General features: G+C 55.2%; 1 protein-coding gene across 58 annotated transcripts in view, besides 1 other annotated feature; it reads right to left on the minus strand.

Moving 5' to 3' along the window:
* Positions 1–18,240, minus strand: part of RBFOX3 (RNA binding fox-1 homolog 3) — a 576,227-nt gene that overhangs the window by 295,891 nt on the left and 262,096 nt on the right. The window lies entirely within an intron of this gene.
* Positions 16,031–16,205: a silencer, noted in NCBI's record as "fragment chr17:77397348-77397522 (GRCh37/hg19 assembly coordinates)". NCBI's record gives its function as "represses an EF-1alpha promoter that drives an FKBP-Casp9 reporter gene in an ReSE screen in phorbol 12-myristate 13-acetate-treated (for megakaryocytic differentiation) K562 erythroleukemia cells {active_cell/tissue: K562(+PMA)}" and the evidence as "EXISTENCE:reporter gene assay evidence [ECO:0000049][PMID:32094911]".

Below are 18,240 nucleotides of genomic sequence, written 5' to 3' on the forward strand. Positions count from 1 at the left end.
AGGCAGAAAGAAGCCCTTGGCAGCTCAAACCAGAGCACCCAGCAGGGCGGGGAGGCTGCAAGGGAAACACCAGGCCCCATGTCCACTACCAGCCATGGGAAGTCAGGCAAGACCCACAAAGGTCACTGAAGGAAGAGCTTCAACTTTGCCAAGAAGCTCATGGAGGAGCCTGAAACCATCATCCATCGAGGGTGCAGGATGCAGGACAATCAGCGAGCCCCCAAGAACACAGGTGTCCTGTCCTGCCAGGCAGGAGGGGCTGTGCCTGTTCCTGGCCACAGTGATCAGAGCTGCTGGCTGAGCCTGGTCCCCCATGCCCATCTGAGAACTCTCAGTGAGTCACAAAGACAGAGGTTCGCTCTCAAATACCACGTGTGCTGCTCCCTCATTCTGTGAGCCCTCTGGGTGGGTTCTATCACCCCCGTTACAGACAGGGGCTCCAGTACCTCCTGTGACAGACGGGCTCCATCAGCTCCCATAACAGAAGGAGGCTCTATCACCTCCTATTACAGATGGGGGCTCCATCACTCTCCATTACAGAAGGAGCTCCATTACTTCCTGTAACAGATGGGGTTCCAACACCTCCCATTACAGAAAGAGGCTCCATCACCCTCCATTGCAGACAGGAGCTCCATCACCTCCTGTAACAGATGGGGGTTCCATCACCTCCCATTAGAGAGAGAGGCTCCATCACCCTCCATTGCGGACAGGAGCTCCATCACCTCCCACACCAGATGGGGGCTCCATCACTCTCCATTACAGAAGGAGCTCCATTACTTCCTATAACAGATGGGGTTCCAACACCTCCCATTACAGAAAGAGGCTCCATCACCCTCCATTGCAGACAGGAACCTCCTACACCAGACGGGGGCTCCATCACCTCCCATTACAGAAAGAGGCTCCATCATCCTCCATTGCAGACATGAGCTCCATCACCTCCTGTAACAGATGGGGGTTCCAACACCTCCCATTAGAGAAAGAGGCTCCATCACCCTCCATTGCAGACAGGAACCTCCCACACCAGACGGGGGCTCCATCACCTCCCACAGCAGACAGGGGCTCCATCACCTCCCATGACAGAAGGAGGCTCCATCACCTCCCATCATAGATGAAGGCTCCACGATTTCCCGTTATAGGTGAGGGCTCCATCACCTCCTGTAAAAGGTGGGGCTCCATCACTACTTTACACATAGGGAAACTCAATAAGAGCCAGAAAGTTACTAGTCCAAAGTCGACAGCTAGTGAGTGGCAGGGCTGGAATCCAAGCTGGGGTCCAAAGCCAGAGCCCTCATACTATCACCATGATGTCAGTGAGTGACAGAGGAAGGAGCCCCCAAGTGTTCTGTTCTCCACCAGGTCCCACAGAGCCAGACACCTTCCCCAGAGTCAGTGTGAGCTCCCGGCCAACAACCACGGGCACCTTTCCCCAAGGAGTTCCTTCCCCACCCGACATCTTGGCCCCGCTGTTCCCTGCAGCCCTTGGGGTCCAGCCCCTCCAGGCTACCCGGCCCCACCCCCTACTCCAAGCAGGACCACATTTCTGACTAGCCTGCTAAGAAGGCTAAGTTCTCATGTCTCTACCCACCCCGCCTAGTGGCAGAAGGCCATCCCTAGCAGCCATGTCCGTGTGTGATGTGGCAGGACCCCATATTTTGACATTTGCTGTCTACTTGGGAAGACAGGTCTACTTATGAAGGAGAAAAATGGAACTCAGAATTGGAAGGTAGATACCTGGAAGGCAGAAACTCTGCTCTTGCAGAATTCTTTTTCACTATTTTTTACATGATTTTCCCCACCCCATTCACAGGCCAGTACCTCTAGTACTGAACAGGGACAGGAAAGCAGGACCCAGGGGTTTGAGAGGTCCCCAGGGCTCCCTGGGGTCCCTCTTGAGTTCTAGAAGAGTCTTTACTGAGTCCTACTGTCCAAGCATGGGGTCTGGCCACACTCATGCTTACACACAGCATTTCCACTGCGTGACTTCAGTAATTTGTTTCTACAGTAAAAACTGATCTGATACAGCCTAGTAAAGGGTTTTGTGTATCTGAGTGTGCTTTTCATCACAAAAAAACCCCAGCATCCTTAAAGGTTAAGAAAAATCGGTCCTATTATTCTAACAACTCACAGGCGTGAGTCAAAACATGAAGGCAAACACACTCTGGGGAACACTCATCAGAGACCCTGAAAACAAGTCCCAGGTCTTTTAAAAGCAACCTCAGCTTTCCGGCAGGGCCTGATCTAGGGATAAATACTGCCAGGGCCCACAGGGTCCCACCGTCTTCACTGGAAGATGGCTGGTACCGCCCGCATGGGCTGGATGAGAAAGCTGAGGCCAGAGAGGACAGGCTTCTCCCCCAAGCCAAATACAAATGAGGGGCCATGAGCTCTGCCTCACTGTGGTTCTCACCACTGCCTATGTGCCATGTTGTTGGACTGGGGGCCCCCAGGCTGGGTGCAGTGGGGCCACTTCTTTCACTGGGAGCAGGAGGAAGATTCTTCTTGCCTCCTGAAAACCCATAACCACACTGCAGGGGGCCTGGGCACTTGGAGTTCAAGGGAAGAGCCCACTCCTTCCCAACCCATACCCCAAGAGCAGGACCAGACTAACGTGTGCATGGGTATGTGTGCACTGTACAGTGTGTGTGCACATGTGCAAGAGTGTGTGATTGTGTGTACGAGTGTGCATACATGCGTGTGCATGTGTACATGTGTGCATGTACATGCATGTGTGAACGTGTACCTGTGTGTGCATGTGTGAATGTGTACGTGTGTGTGTGTGTGCATGCAAGTGGATATGAACTTGTGTGCATGTACATGTGTGCACTGTGCAGTGTGTGTGCCTACGTGTGCATGTGTGTGCATGTGGACATGTATATGTGCATGTGTGGTTGTGCATACAAATGTGTGTGCATGTGTGTGTGCATGTGTGTTAGCAGCTCTCTGACCACACAGACTGGGCCATAACTACGCAGCCCCCATGTGCTCCATGGGCTGTGACTGGGGTGGGGGCTCTATCACAGAAGAGTCATGCCCAGGCCAGAAGAGCTTGAGAGAACAAGGAGTTGGGCCCTTCCAGGGCCTCAAAAGCACCCAGGCATGACCACGGCTGAACGAGGATGCAGAGCCAGTGCAAGATCCTGTTTTAGGGAGCTTTGTCAAGGGTTACTCATCTCCCCACGCATGGAGCCTGTTCCCTACTTCTTCCAACACACATGGAATCGTTTTCAGCTGTGTCCAGATGCCTTCCCACCTGCATGCGCCTTACTTAGTCACCAAAGGCAGGCATTTTTAAAAGAGAAGATTTTTAATAAATCTCTAATCTCTTTTAAAAACAGGGGATTTAAGCTGGCTCTGAGCGCCCCTGCTCCAGGAAGCTCACTGCACAGCTGCGGGCTGGATCTCGTTCCCACCTGCAGCAGCACTACCCTCTAGTGGCCACGGAGGATGTCCACGTCCCGGCCAGGGTTCCCGGCAAGGACACAGGTGGCAGCTCCTCAGCAGCCGCCTCCAGCCACCCCTCCTGCACATGCCCCGGTGCTGCCGGAGCCTCTCGCCAAGCATCACTCACACAGGTGGCCACCACAGCCCCACTGATAATTCATCTTGCCCGCTAACCACTTATCTCTGAGCTGTGCTCACCGATCACCATCCTCTCCCAGCGGCAGGGAACAGATTCCCTTAACTCCTCCCAGCCGCCAAGCCCTCCAATCCTTTAGAACTGGGGCCTTGCCTCTCAGCTTCCTTCGCCTCCTGCAATAAGCATTTCAGAGGGAGACGTGGCCCCACCAATGGCCTTTTCTCTACATCCTTCCTCCACACTGACCATGAATGAGAACAGAGACGGAGGGACGAAGCGGTGGGCGCGGGGGGGCGGTGTGGCAAGCACCGCGTCACAGGGGAGGAAACTCACTTTTGAAGTTTGGGGTCCCCTTCCTCTCTCCCTCGCTGCTCTTCCAGGAGAGCACTAACCACCAAACCTCGGGTCACTCACCCCTTTGGTGTGCAACGAGAGTTGGTGGTTATGTGACATATGGAGGACTGGGGGTAGAAACACAAAGGTCTGGGGACCCCTAGAATGAGATGCCCAAATAAACAGTAGCTGGGTATTCTCTGGAGCACTCCTGCCCCTGGGAGGCCCCCTTTCTGGACTTTTGACTTCTCCCCGTCAGTAATGCTGCAGCTGGTTCGTACTTTTCAGGAACTCTACAAGCCAGCTGACAGCAGCTGACAGCCCTTGAGGGGGTATTTACAGCAGGGGAATTGACAAATGCTACACATCAACCTGCTTTAGTTCCTTTGGAAGAGCCTATTGTTAAACACTGAGTCCCCCACCCTGCCTCGGCCTCAGTGGGTCTCCACTCAGGTAAGGGCAGCCTTACCGACACATGACACATGAGCATGCTGGGCCGGTTTCCAGACTGCCTGACTCCAGAGATCTGGGGTGGGACAGACGACATGCCTTTCTTGTACGTTCCTGGGGAATGCCAGTACTTCCAGGCTGGGGACCGTACTTGGGGAACCAGTGCTCAGTGGTTCATCAGCACGAATTAATTTATACAAAGGCACAAAAGACAACAGTTTAGAATGAGAGGAGACTGAGGGGGCCAGGGCCATGCTCAGATACTGCAGGGCTGGAGACTAGCGTTTTCTGTTTCCAAAGCAGAGAGGGTTTCAGCTGAGAAGGAGGCCTTGGAGCAACCAGAGCCAGGTCTCCGCAGCCTCCAGGTCTCTGTAGCCTCCGGGTCTCCGCAGCCTCCAGGTCTCCGCAGCCTCCAGGTCTCCGCAGCCTCCAGGTCTCCGTAGCCTCCAGGTCTCCGCAGCCGCCGGGTCTCCGCAGCCTCCGGGTCTCCGCAGCCTCCGGGTCTCCGTAGCCAGCCACCCGGCCGAGGGGCTGGGTCCACAGAGGAGGACCAGCAGCAGTGAAGGGCAAGTCCACAGAGTTCTGAGGTGTCCAACCTCCGGGACGCTGCACTGACTTTCAAGTGCCCAGAGGTCCTCCTAGAATAACACATCCCTCCGCCCCATCATCCTGCAATCCTTTAGCTGGCAGACACCAGCATCCCGGGGGGACTTCTTAGACTCCACTCTGAGTTTGGCTTTGCCACGCTGTGGTTTCATCACGACCATCACGGCCAGGTGACGGGTTCCAGCTCATTCGGGGCTCAGCCCCATCTGCCCACTTTGGTGCTGGAAAATGCACTCAGAGTCCAACCGGCGTGGAAATACAGTCTTTGCGCCACTGCTTTTTTTTTTTTTTTTTAGATGGAGTCTCGCTCTTGTCGCCCAGGCTGGAGTGCAGTGGCACAATCTCGGCTCACTACAACGTCTGCCTCTCAGGTTCAAGTGATTCTCCTGCCTCAGCCTCCCAAGTAGCTGGGATTACAGGCGCCTGCCACCAAACCCAGCTAATTTTGTATTTTTAGTAGAGACAGGGTTTCGCCATGTTGGCCAGGCTGGTCTCGAACTCCTTATCTCAGACAATCTGCCCGTCTCGGCCTCCCAACGCATGGCCCATTCAAAGTTTGCCAGAGGCGAGTTCAGGGTGGGGATCCTGGCAGTGGGAAACTGGAGGAGCGCATGGAGCATCTGAGAGTTGAGGCAGCGGAACCCCTCACCAGGAGGCACCTTCCTGCCCAGACACCTCGGGATGAGCCCCTGGTGGGACTGCTCGGGTGCCGGCAGGGAGTTCCTGGACCCACCCAAAGCCAGCTCTGCTTCTCCCTTCTCTCTTCCCGCTTTCTTCTCCACAGCCCCCTGATTCCCACAGATCCTTCCCTGGAAGGCTTTCTCGCTGTCTCTTCAAAGTCTCTCTTCTACCCACTGCCATGGGAGCCTTCGCACCTCGGGTCTGGTGGCCTGTAACCCCTGCCAGCCAGGCTCCCTGATACCAGCCTCTCTTTTTCCAGACAGTCTGATTAACTTTTCTAAAACCTCACTACCACTGTATCAAACTCCAGCTTCTCTTCAACCGTCAGCGACTTCCCCACTGCTTGCAGGATGAAATCCAAATTCCTTAGCGCAACCCCCAAGCTGGGGTCTCAGCTCCAGCACCTCTCACCTGACCCTCAATGACCAGCTGTCTCAGGGGGAGAAAAAGGGAGGATTTAAACCCAGCACACCTGGGTTCAAGCTTCAGCTCTCCTTCCCACGATTGGTGAACACTCGGGCAGGTTACCTAACTTCTCTGAGCCTCAGTCTCCTCTGCTTAATAATGGGTGGTATCATAACATCTTCCTGAATTATTATCTAAAATGTCAAGTTCATGACTTGTCCGCCCAAATACGGCAAATGCCACCGATTTTAATCTCACCCGAAACCAACCTCACAGGTGCTGATTCACTTTTAGGAATTAGGAATTTAGTTTTAGGAATGAAGAAATGAGGCCCAGTGAGGTACATGTACACGTGCACATGTGCATACATGCGTGTGTACTTGCCTGCCTGTGCATCCACATATATGTGCGTGTGAGCGTGTGTGGGCACAGGAAAGTCTGTGTGCACGTGTGAGTTAGGGTGGGGGGTATGTGGAGACACCAGGACCACCAACATGCATGACAACGAGAACCAGTACGCATGTGTTTGGGGGACAGCACACCCCCGCTCTGATCCTCGGTTTCCGAATCTGTTAAAAAAAAAAGGCTCCAGGCTGGACAAGCCCCAGGTCCCCTCCTTCCCGGTTCTGAAGCTCACAGGTCGCGGGTTTGCTGAGAAGGCACGTGCTCCCCCTGGTGGAAGGAAACTTGTATGGCAACGCTCCCGCCAGGGCCCCGCGATGGTCAGGCTTTCTGCCGTCTTGGAAACAGACACCGACAAGCAACAGGGTTCCCATAGTGCCCGGGCACTTCGGACCCGCTGCGGGACCTTGGGCAAACTCTTTTAGCCTCAGCACCTTCCTCTGTGAAATGGAGCCAACAACAGCACATCACAGAGCTAACAGTAAAGAAAACTGGGGCAGCCTCCTCACCCCCGTCTCTTTTCTCAGTGGTTAGTTATGCCAACGATTGTTCCAGAATCCAAACTCACACAGCAGAGAGAGGCAGCTCAGCACACGGACCTTGCAGCCAGTTGGCCCTGAATTCCAGCCCTGCCACTTACTAGCTGTGTGATCCTGGGCACGTGATTTCACCGTCTTTCATTGTGGAGTTGTGAAGATTCATAAGCTAACTCTCACACGGTAGTGAGCGCAGGGCCCGGCCACTCACAGGTGCATGGTAATGTCGGTGGTACAGGTGTCTTGTGGCTGTCACTGAGGTTGTTCATAATCTCCTGGCTCCTGTTCCTGCTGGAGCCACGGGGAGCTGCCCTTCCCACCCACTTAAGTTAGGCACCATCCCGTGACTTGCTTTGCCCAACAAAATGGGAGCAGAGGGGTGTCACTTCCAGCCGAAGTTTGCAGAACCAACAGTGTGTGCAGTACCACACCCTCTCTTCCCGATATCTGGCAAGCATCGGGCAGTGGCTCTATGAGCTTGGGTCCTGAGTGAGGGCAACAGCACAGCACAACACCCTCAGGAACCAAGATGCATATGAGCCAGAAATCAACCCGCAATTGCTACAGATCTCTGATGTGGGGTTGTTTGTTACTGAGCATAACCTGCTGCTGCTGACTGAGACACTGACTCCTGCAGAGCTTCTCTGAGGAGAAAGGATTCCTTCTCATTTATCCTGACATGTACTTACTAAATAGGAATATTTATCAGTTAACGAACACACATTTCCTTTCCCCAAACCTAAACTACCAAGCAAGAGAACCACCAAAATTTGCAATTCCAAGTGCATCGTGATGGAGACCAAAGCCCCAACTTGACCACTACACAGTCTGCACATGTAACAAAATTGCACCTGTGCCCCCAAAATATGTAGGAGTTGTAAAATATACACAATGAACTGTGATATGAGCAAGAGATAGAACATAGCAGAGTGCAAAGGCATTTTTTCTCAAACACACAAAACCTTTATGGAGACGGATTTGGGGTTTCACAGTTCAGTTCCACCCGCGTAGCCGCCTGCTGCAGCACAGGGGGAAAGGGAGGCTTGGGGCACCTCTCCTACCCACACCCCAACCCCACACTTCCACCTGCACCTAACTTGCTTGTTAGAAGACAGGAGAGTCGTGGTTACAATACACTGGGAGGGAGATGCTGGACGAAGCAAGCCTCTCAGGGGAGACCCGGCCAGTGAGCAGCCGCAGGGAAACGCTCTCCGTTCGTGTGGTCCCTGGCGCCACCTCGCGGCGCTGGCTGGCACTGCTGGGAGCTGGCTCCTGGTCGGCAATCTGCTCCTGCTCCTGGCCAGGGCAATAGCACACTGGATGCTGAGCGGGTCATCACACACATCGGAGCTGGTCATCAATGAACATCTGAGCCAGTCATCACATACATCGGAGCCGGTCATCAATGCACATCTGAGCCGGTCATCACACACATGATCTGAGCCTGTCGCCACACATCGTCTGAGCCGGTCATCACGCACATCTGAGCCGGTCATCATACACATCATCTGAGCTGGTCATCACGCACATCAGAGCTGGTCATCATGCACATCAGAGCTGGTCATCATCATGCACATCATCTGAGCCAGTCATCATGCACATCTGAGCTGGTCATCACACACATCATCTGAGCCGGTCATCACGCACATCATCTGAGCCATTCATCGCACACATCAGAGATGGCCATCAATGCACATCTGAGCCGGTCATCATACACATCATCTGAGCCGGTCACCACGCACATCGTCTGAGCCAGTCATGCACATCTGAGTCTGTCCCCGTGCACATCATCTGAACTGGTCATCACACACATCGGAGCTGGTCATCAGTGCACATCCGAGCCCGTCATCATACACATCATCTGAGCCGGTCACTATGCACATCGTCTGAGCCAATCATCACGCACATCTGAGTTGGTCCCCGCGCACATCATCTGAATCGGTCATCACACACACATCTGAGCCCTCGCCTGTGGGCTGAGATCTGCGAGAATGGACAGAGGGCCCAGGATGGAAAAGCATGAGGGACTCAAGGACGACACTGTGTCCAGGTCCAGGGAGGAGCTCACCCTGCACCCTGATCACTGAGACACTCACTCCCCACAGTGCAGAGTGACCCTGAGGCCAGAGCCCAGCCAAGCCCCCATCTCCACCACTGGGGCAGGGGTCTCCAGGGCCCTCTGAGTGCAGGTGGGGTTCATCTTACCCCCTGGAAAACAGTCTGGCTTCTATGTCCACCCTAGGCCGGCACCCTAGTGCTTGGCCAAAAATGGAGCAAGCCACGCCAGCCTCAAGGGCCTGTCCTTCTCCATCCACTCCAGGACAGGAGGCTGACAGTCAAGGCAGCACGCACAGTCCTCCCAGCGAGATGAGCAAATGAAGGACGTGAACTGGAAACAGGTCCACAGAGTAAACAAATGGCCCCCACTCTAAATGGTCTTGTCTGAAGCCTTGGACCATGCCTCTTTATCCAAGTCTCTTTGCACAGATAATTGTTCCAACACTGAAGCCTGAGCCCCCACTGACCCACACATCTCTCTCCTCAACTACCCCAGGCTCATTGGAGCCACAGCTCTGCCCCACTCCTGAGACGTCCCGGGCCCTCGCTACATGAGTGACCCAGTGAGGTAGAGGGATATGAGAAGAGCTAGGAGAAGGGCCTGGAGACGCAACACAGGCGCTCGGGGCGTGTGCAGGTGGGACGACGCAGAGAGGCGGCAAGACGTCAGGAGGTGCCAGAAGGGTGGATGAGAACCCAGGGTTAAGTGCAGCCTTCCAGAACAGCCTTAAAGGTGGATCAGCCATCCCAGTGGTGGCCACAGCTGCTGTCATTCAGTGCGACTGATGGGGATCCAGGCCCGCAAAGCAGTGCTCTATCTGGGCCTCCCGTCAACCTTCTGCCGGAGACCAGGGATTCAAGGATCAGTGGCAAAGGGCTAGATGTTTTTGTTAGTCCCTTTGTTTCATTTGCAGCCACGATGAGCTGACACCGGACCCAGCAATGTGTGGCGGCCTCTGTGGAGAACAGCTGCAGGCTCTATCTTGAGCAAGCCTTTGGCTCCCTGCCTGGGAGGACCCCTCCTAAGGGATGGGGCATTCCACACCTGGACTGAGCACAGTGGAGCCAACCACCGCTCAGTGCCGGGAGGAACCACACTTCCTGGGGACCTGCTATGTGTCTGGCCTCGCTTAAGCTGCATCACATCTGTGAGCCACACACGGCTCCATTTGTACAGGTGACCCTCACTGAGGCCAAAGGTGTCTTTGAGACCCTCTCTCCTAAGCCAGGCTCAGCACACAAGCCAAGAGCTCTGGGCTGTGGTTTACAGTGGACAGCGAGGTTCCCTTCACACTGGATGGTGACAGCTGGCGCCCGCCTGGCAGTTAGTGTGTGCCGGGCACTGATCCAGGGGCTTCCAGTGGGTCATCTCCCCCAACCCCAACGGGTGGGACTGGTGGTCTTTCGCTTTGCAGAGGAGGACGCTGAAGCACAAGGCAGAAGCGCCTTGCCCAAGGTCAACAACAGCAAGTGGCTGAGCCGTGACGTGACCAGGAGCCCATCACGTCAGCCCTGGATTGAGGCTGCCTCGGTGACTCAGGAGGCTTGAGATCCCCTCCTGGCTGTGGGAGCAGAGCATCCTGCAGAAGGGGTAGACCCTCACCTGCCAGCGGGGCTGCAGCTAGGCCATGGGGCATCCCTCACCCTTGGTCTGGGGTACAGGTGCACTAACAAGGTGCACACAAGGAGCCCCGCCTGCCACTGGTTTCCGTTCCAGGATCCGGGTCTGGTGTCATCTGGATGCTCAAGCTGCCAGGACCTGAGGATGTCTGAGCCCCTGAGTCCTTCCCCAGAACTCTGAGCATCTCAAAAGTAACAGGGCAGGGTGCAAAGCCACGTCTCCACCTGGGGCCGGAGGGCCCTGCCTCCAAAACCTGCCTCCCACCTTCTTTTGGTTACCACCTTGGCTGCCTGGACCTCCAGTGGAAGGAAAGATACCCTTTTGGATCAAATTTGGACTGGGCAGAGCCGGGGGAGAAGGGTGTGGCTGAGCTCAGAACAGAGAAGCCCAAACTTGAAGCTCCCTGTGTCTGTGCGTCTGAGATGCTGCAAAGTGACCTCTGCTGCCCACGAGGACTCTTGCTTCTCTCCCTGCTCATCCTGGCCTTGCCCTTTAAAATGCAGCATCCTAAGGAAAAGGGGCTCCCCACTCCCTGAAATAAACCTCTGTCTTCTCCAGCACAATGATACCAGAAGAATTAAGGGTTTCTTTCCAGAAAGGGGGAAAGGACCTCCTTCCTTAATGCAAATTTTATTCTGACTCCCCCTGAGACCCCCTCCCCAGCCCTATGCCCACCCTGCTCTCTAAGTGGGAGGGCATCCTCACAGGTGCTGGCCACCCCGTCATTATCCAGAGAAAAAAGGGACCCAGACTCAGGAGGGCTGTCATTGTCCAGCTGGCCTGGGTAGGCCCACCTACTGCTCGGAGGGATGAAAGCTGTCCCCCTCGGGCCCCAGGCTGTGGGCAGGACCAGCTACATAATTTGCAGGGACCATCCCCTCATTAAAAAGTTGTCCAGAATTCCCAGACAGCAACAACAGGGCATGAAACCCAGCCTGGATCCCTTCTGAGTGCAGCTTCCAGCGCCTCCACCGGTCACGGGTCCGTGAAGCCGGGCCAGGGTGGGACCTGTCATCCATGGTAGGGAAGTCTGCAAGGAGAACGAACCCCTGTCACAGCGGCAGGGAACGCGCACCAGGCTAAGCCGCAGAGCCTGAATCTTGGAAATGCTTCCTGGCTGCAAGGACGACCTGTCTCAAGGGGTGGATTTGGGAATAAAGAAATACAGCTTTGTCACTTTCACAGCATCAGTGTTTCCAGGAGACGCCTCCCCACAGCCCCGCGGACAGGCAGGATTTCCTTGCCATAGCATCACTATTTACATTCAAATAAGTGACTATCCTTTTAAGAAGCGTGGGCTGGGCGCAGTGGCTCACGCCTGAAATCCCAGCACTTTGGGAGGCCGAGGCAGGCGGATCATGAGGTCAAGAGATCGAAACCATCCTGGCCAACATGGTGAAACCCTGTCTCTCCTAAAAATAAAAAATTTAAAAAAAAAATTAGCTGGGCCTGGTGGCGCACACCTGTAGTCCCAGCTACTCGGGGGTCTGAGGCAGGAGAATCACTTGAACCCGGGAGGTGGAGGTTGCAGTGAGCCAAGATAATGCCACTGCCCTCCAGCCTGGGCAACAGAGGAGGACTCCATCCCCAAAAAAAAAAAAAAAGTGCGACCCCCACCCCCAGAAGTTTAGAAAAGCCCATTAAGAGCCTCCTCGCATACCTCATTTCCCATCAAAATCAACCTAGGGCAGATTTAAGCTTCGGGCCAGGTGAGCTGGCCATAGTGTCTGATTTAGAGCAGCCCAGCTCACACCTCACTGACATCTTTTCCTTTACGACATGGTCCAATGGCTGAGATAAACCAGCTGCATCACAGGAGTCACGGCAGGGACCTGTTACCACCCCCGGGAGGCCTCCAGGACGTCGGGGAACCCTCTGTTTTTCTGGATACCTTTCTCAGGCCACAGCGGTGGGCAGGGGAGGTGTCTCAGCCTTGACAGTTCGATGCCAGCACCGAAAGCTACAACCACAAACAGAGGCCCTGGGGCTGGGAAGATGGATTTTCCGTCCTGGATCACCGTGAGACGCCGTCACGAATCTGTCCGGCGGCGGATTTTCAGAATATTCTCGTCTGCGGTCCTGCACACCCCCACCCAGACAGCTTTAGGGTACAGACAGTATCACAGGAGTTTAAAGAGGAGGAAGACTCGGAGCCCGAACGAGGCTCTGGGCGCCTTGTCGGGGCCCCAGAGTCAGGGCTTTGCAGCTGAGCAGCAATTAGAGCCCAATCTAGTGCTTTGCAAGAAAGAGAAAATACAAGCAGTGCTGAGAGCAGTCCTGATCCTGCTGGGCCTCGGGAGGCTCATTATGCACCAGAAAGGAGGCCTGCAGAAACTCCCAGAACTGCCCCCCAAGTATGGGAGCGTCCAGCCCTGAGGCGCTCCTGGCCTAGACGAGGCTTCATTGCATCAATTTGCACCACGGTTTCAGAAAAGTGGGAAAGGGTGAAGGTGTCCCGTCACCCCAGAATGTGGGGACCCACTATGGGATGTGAACTGGCGAGGCCTGGCAGGAGGACACAGCCTGACGATATCTGTCAGCGTTTAACATACGTACACCACATAAACCACGTCAGCGGCTCTCCACCGAGAGTAATTTTACCTCCTGGGGAGGGACACGTGGCAATGTCTGGAGACATTGTTGGTCATCGTAACTGAGGGAGGGGCTTCTGGCATCTGGTGGGTGGAGGCCAGGGGTGCTGCTGAATGCCCTGCAGCGTACAGGGCGGCCTCCACCGTGGGCGACGATGCGGCTCCCACGTAGCAGCAGCGCTGAGGCTGAGAGAGCGGAATTACCCTGGGAGATGTGAGTGCATAAAGTAGTAAGGGCAGGGGCACAGTGGCCATCTACGTGATGTTTACCGGGGGCCAGTCACGAGTCTGACCACTTTTCACCTGGGGACTCACTTCGCCCACCCAACACACACAGTGCACAGCTGAACTGTGTCCCTCTAAGATAAGTTGAAGCGCAAACCCCTGGTACCTGTGAACGAGATCTTCTTTGGAAACAGAGCCTTCGCCGATGTAATCAGGTAAAGATGAGGTCATAGGGTGAGCCCTAACCCACCATGACTGGTGTCCTTGTAGGAAGAGGAAAACACCGTGTGAAGACATGCATGAGAGAAGGACGCATGACGGCAGAGGCAGGGTTGGAGTGACGCGGCTACAAGCCCGGGAACCCCTCGGGTGGCTGGCGGCCCCCAGAGGCTAAGAAGCCGTGGGGAGGATTCTACCTGGAGTCTCAGAGGGGGCATGGCCCTGCTGACCCCTTGGTTTTGGGCTTCTGACCTCCAGAATGTTAAAAAAAAATCTTGTGTTTCCAGCCACCCAGTCCGTGGCAGTTTGTTACAGCGGCCACAGGAAATGCGTACCGTGGGTGAGGCTATCCCCGCTTCACAAATGAGGAAACCGAGGCACCGGGAGGCAAAGGTGCGTGCCCGCACACACACAGCTGGTAAATCAGCAGTTTTGCTTCCGTGCACGGCTCGCGCTTCTGATTAGAGTGACAGCATTGCACCAGCTTTCATGAAGGGTTTTCCTGGCGTGACTGCAGGTTCCATGTGGAGGGCAGGGATGGTTTTTTTTTGCCATCTTTTCAAGACAGTGGTTCAGGGAGGACTTTTCACCATCAGGGGTCATCAAATTTAGCAAAATCCCACACGGTGGCCGCACCAGGGCCCAGCAGGCCACGCTCTCCCAGCAGTCACAAAGGAGAAAGCAAAAAAAATCTACCTTTAATTTTGTGGGAAAAGTGCTGCTGAAACCAAAAGACAATGTCCATTATGAAAACCTGTTTTTAAACTCTGATGTTCTCATCACCTTTTCCTGCTGGCTTCTCAGGCAGATGTAGCCGAGGCCCCTCCCCGGGGAGCAGCAGACACCACAGACCCTCGGGCGCTCCCGTCTTCAGCAAGCGTGAACGCGCCGCTGGAAAGAATGCTGGCTTTCTCTCCAAGTGAACGTTGTCCTTAACTGGCTAGTGCAGGACAGTCTAACTCCCGCTCTGGAATCTAGACATCGTTTCCCATCACTCAGGAAAGGTCTGGAGATATCCAGGTTCACCCACTGCTTGTCTCTACCCACAGATTCTCTCAGGAGTGCTGGAGGGACAGTGGAGCCACTGCTGATTTAACCGGTTTCCAGACACTTCCAACACTGCCCCTGGGATCAGGATCGGAGCAGGATTCTCGGGGAATGGGGTTTGGAGTGGGGAAAAAGTCTGACAGTGAAACAAATGCACCACGGGGCTCTGGAACTCCAGAGGGGAGCCACAAACTGGGTGGCTCAGAGCAACATGAATTTTTTCCTTCACATTCTGGAGGTCAGGAGCCCCAAACCAAGGGGTCAGCAGGGCCAAGCTCCTGCTGAGACTCCGGATAGAATTCTTCCTCATGGCTTCTTAGCCTCTGGAGCCACCCGAGGGGCTCCCGGGCTTGTAGCCGAGTCTCTCCAACCCTGCCTCTGCCGTCACGGGGCCTTTTCCTGTATGTGTCTTCACACGGCGTTTTTGTCTTCCTACAAGGACACTGGTCATGGTGGGTTAGGGCTCACCCTAGTGACCTCATCTTTACCTGATTACATCCACAAAGGCTGTTTCCAGATAAGGTCACGTTCACAGGTACCAGAGGTTGGCGCTTCAACTTATCTTAGAGAGACACAGTTCACCCATAACACCCACCTCACAAGGTGTTGGGGGTGGGTGAAGTGAGTTCACGTGTGACCCGCGAATTAACCACAGTTTTAAGAATGCAGAAGGCTCAGACACACTAGGAAGATGCGGCTGTAAGCGGGGTGTCCCAAATGCAGCAGCTCCTGCTCTAATGCCCGTTGACTGAGAGGTGGGAGCTGGACTCACCCCTTTTTGGGGGCACCTGTTGGCCCCGTCACTGCCCTGATCTGGGAGGGTCTCTGCATCAGTCAGGCCACCTCCGAAGCCAAAACCGAAGTCCCCACACTCTCCTAAGCTGGGCCAGCCCCTCACAAAGCTGCCACAACACCTTGCCACCTGGGGAGCTCCTGGATGTGTCTACAGACAGCCTAGCTAGCATCCCTGTGCCAAGAGATCCTCCTCCGAACAAAAACGAGACAAAACAGAAAAACACGTCGTCACAACCCTACTTCCAAAGCTAGAGATCCGGGCGTGTTCATTTTTAAATTCACAGACGCAGAGCCTCTCCAGTGCTGCCCTGCAGAGCAGTCAGCCACGCTGGTGCTCGCTTCTGGAGCTGCTTCTAGAATGACAGCGGTTCGGCAGGGGAGATCAATTCCTACAGGAACGATCAAAGGAAAGATAAGAACTTCGGGGCTCCGCGGTCAGGTTCCACTCACAGCCAGCTTCTCGGAAAGGAGCCCTGAGCGGCGGGAGCCACGCCCCTGCGCACGCTGCTGCTCACGCGCCCCACCAGGTGGTAGAACGGGGCTACTACCACTTTAAAATAGGTCAACTTCAAGCCAAATGGGAAGACAAAAAAATAAGAAGAGCCAGTGAGCCCCCCAAAACGACTCCTTCATGATCCAGGGGTACAGTCAACCAATCAGCCAATCAATGAGACCACCTTGAGAGAGTCTGCAAAATGCAAACGCCTTATTCCCTGTCCTGCGTGTGTGTTCCCAGTGTGCACGTGAGACCCTGCCTTCAGTGCAGAGGGAGAGGGGAGGGAATGGGAGAGGGGAACCTATTTCTTTTGTTTCACTTTTAAAGGAGACAACACTCCAGTATTCCGCAGCTCATTTCTCCCTTCACCCCGATCCCATGCCCCGTGTTTGGACGTTCGCTGAGCCTGCTCCGTGACGGGTCTGTAAGTTCCTACATGGGGCGTCCTCTCTATGAGCCCCAGGGCACCTGGCCCAGCAGTTCACGGTCTGTACCCACTCAGATATCATTGTGGGTCTGACGACCGGCTCCAGATACAGCAGCTTGACACACCAGCCCCAGCCTCCCGAGGGAGCGCGGCCCTGCCTTGATCCTGGACTCTGGCCTCCTGAGCTGTGAGAGCATAAATGCTGCTGTTGAAGCCACACAGTTGTGGTCATCCGTTCTGGTGACCACAGGAACCGCATACGGCTCTCTTACAGGTGAGACCTTCCACGTTACCTGCAGAGCAGCCACCTGGGAGTCACACCTGAGAAAGAGCAGAAGCAGGGGACAATCTGTGGCCCACCACCAGGAGCCCAGGGTGGAGGACCCAGGCAGAGCTGGGCATGCTCAGAGGCTGCTGTCCCCATGGCACCACTCAAGGAGAAAAGGGGTCTCTGGAGAGAGAAGAAGGGAAGGGGCTCTGCAAGGGAGGCAGGATCCACTTGGCAGCTGCTCAAATTTAGTTTGCACCTCCTTTGCCAGTGCAGAAGAAAACAAACGACCTGCGAACTGAATGAAAAATGGTGATTCATTACCCCTGATGTGTGATGATGGCTTAATTATTTTTCTAACTGGGGAGAGACGCTTTCTGACAGCAGGTGCAAATGAATTCTCCACTGTTTTAAGGAGTGATTGGCCCAGGACAGGCGGAAAACTGGGAAACCTAATTAAATTGGGAGCCCCATGAAATAAATGGAGCGGGGAGTTTGTTTGCTTGTGCTAACGGGGATTAACGATCCCCTGAGAAGCTGTAGGGCTCCCGCTGGAGTGAGCGCAGGGGGCCCCGCGGGGCGGACACAGACAAAGCAGGAGCCACATGGGGTGGTGGGGACCCCACTGCACAGGAAAGGGTGGGCCAGGGCCTGGACGCTGAGCTCTACGACTGGCTATCATCTTTGGCTCTCGGTCTCCTTGTCTGTGAAACAGGAGGCTGGACGATGGGAGGACCAGGTGAAGGCTCAGTGCCAGGTGATGGGATGGGATTTCAGAGCACGGGTTTGGAGTTGGACAGCCCGGGGTCAGAGCCAGTGCACCCTCTGCCTCTGACCCGGATCCAGCTTGGATCCTCAGTTTTCTCATCTCTACTATGGGGGTGTGAGCAGTACCTACCCTCCCGGATGTCGTGGGGCTGCCCCGAGGTTGCAGGTCACATTCTCAGCAGGAGCCTGACCCACAGGACGTGCCCGGCAAAGAGAAGGCTCATCAGGATCGCCATCAGATCATGCTGAAGGTCTTCATCTGCTCTGCTGTGGGAAGGGCTGACCCTCCCACCAGGCACACTAACCCCTGGACCTTTTCTCATCTCGGAAGGGACACAGTGGCCTTGCTGGGAGAGGACTGCAGCCAGGGGGAAGGAGGAAGACTTGGCTCCCTCCCCCTCGCTGGGGCCCTGAACAGGCCTCCCTTGGTGCTTGGGGAGGGGCGGTGAAAAGCAAGACCCTCCCCACCACCCTGTATGTCCTCCTGATGGCTGAGAGCCTGCTGGTCGCCCTTTAGCTTGCCAGACTGTCCTAGAAGGCCCTTGGCTGGCAAGGCCCACACCCCTACCAGGTGGGGCCAGGTCCCGGCAGCAGGGCTGCCCCTGAGGTCAGGGATCTGTGCAAATTAGAGACGGGCAGCTCCCATGGGGGGTTCAGGCTCCTGTGGATGGGCACCTCTGTCAGGGATATCTGTCACCTACAGGTGGGCAAGCCTGACTTCCAGACTCCAGAGCT

The sequence above is a fragment of the Homo sapiens genome, chromosome 17 (genome assembly GCF_000001405.40).
Source record: "Homo sapiens chromosome 17, GRCh38.p14 Primary Assembly".
Lineage (NCBI taxonomy): Eukaryota > Metazoa > Chordata > Mammalia > Primates > Hominidae > Homo > Homo sapiens.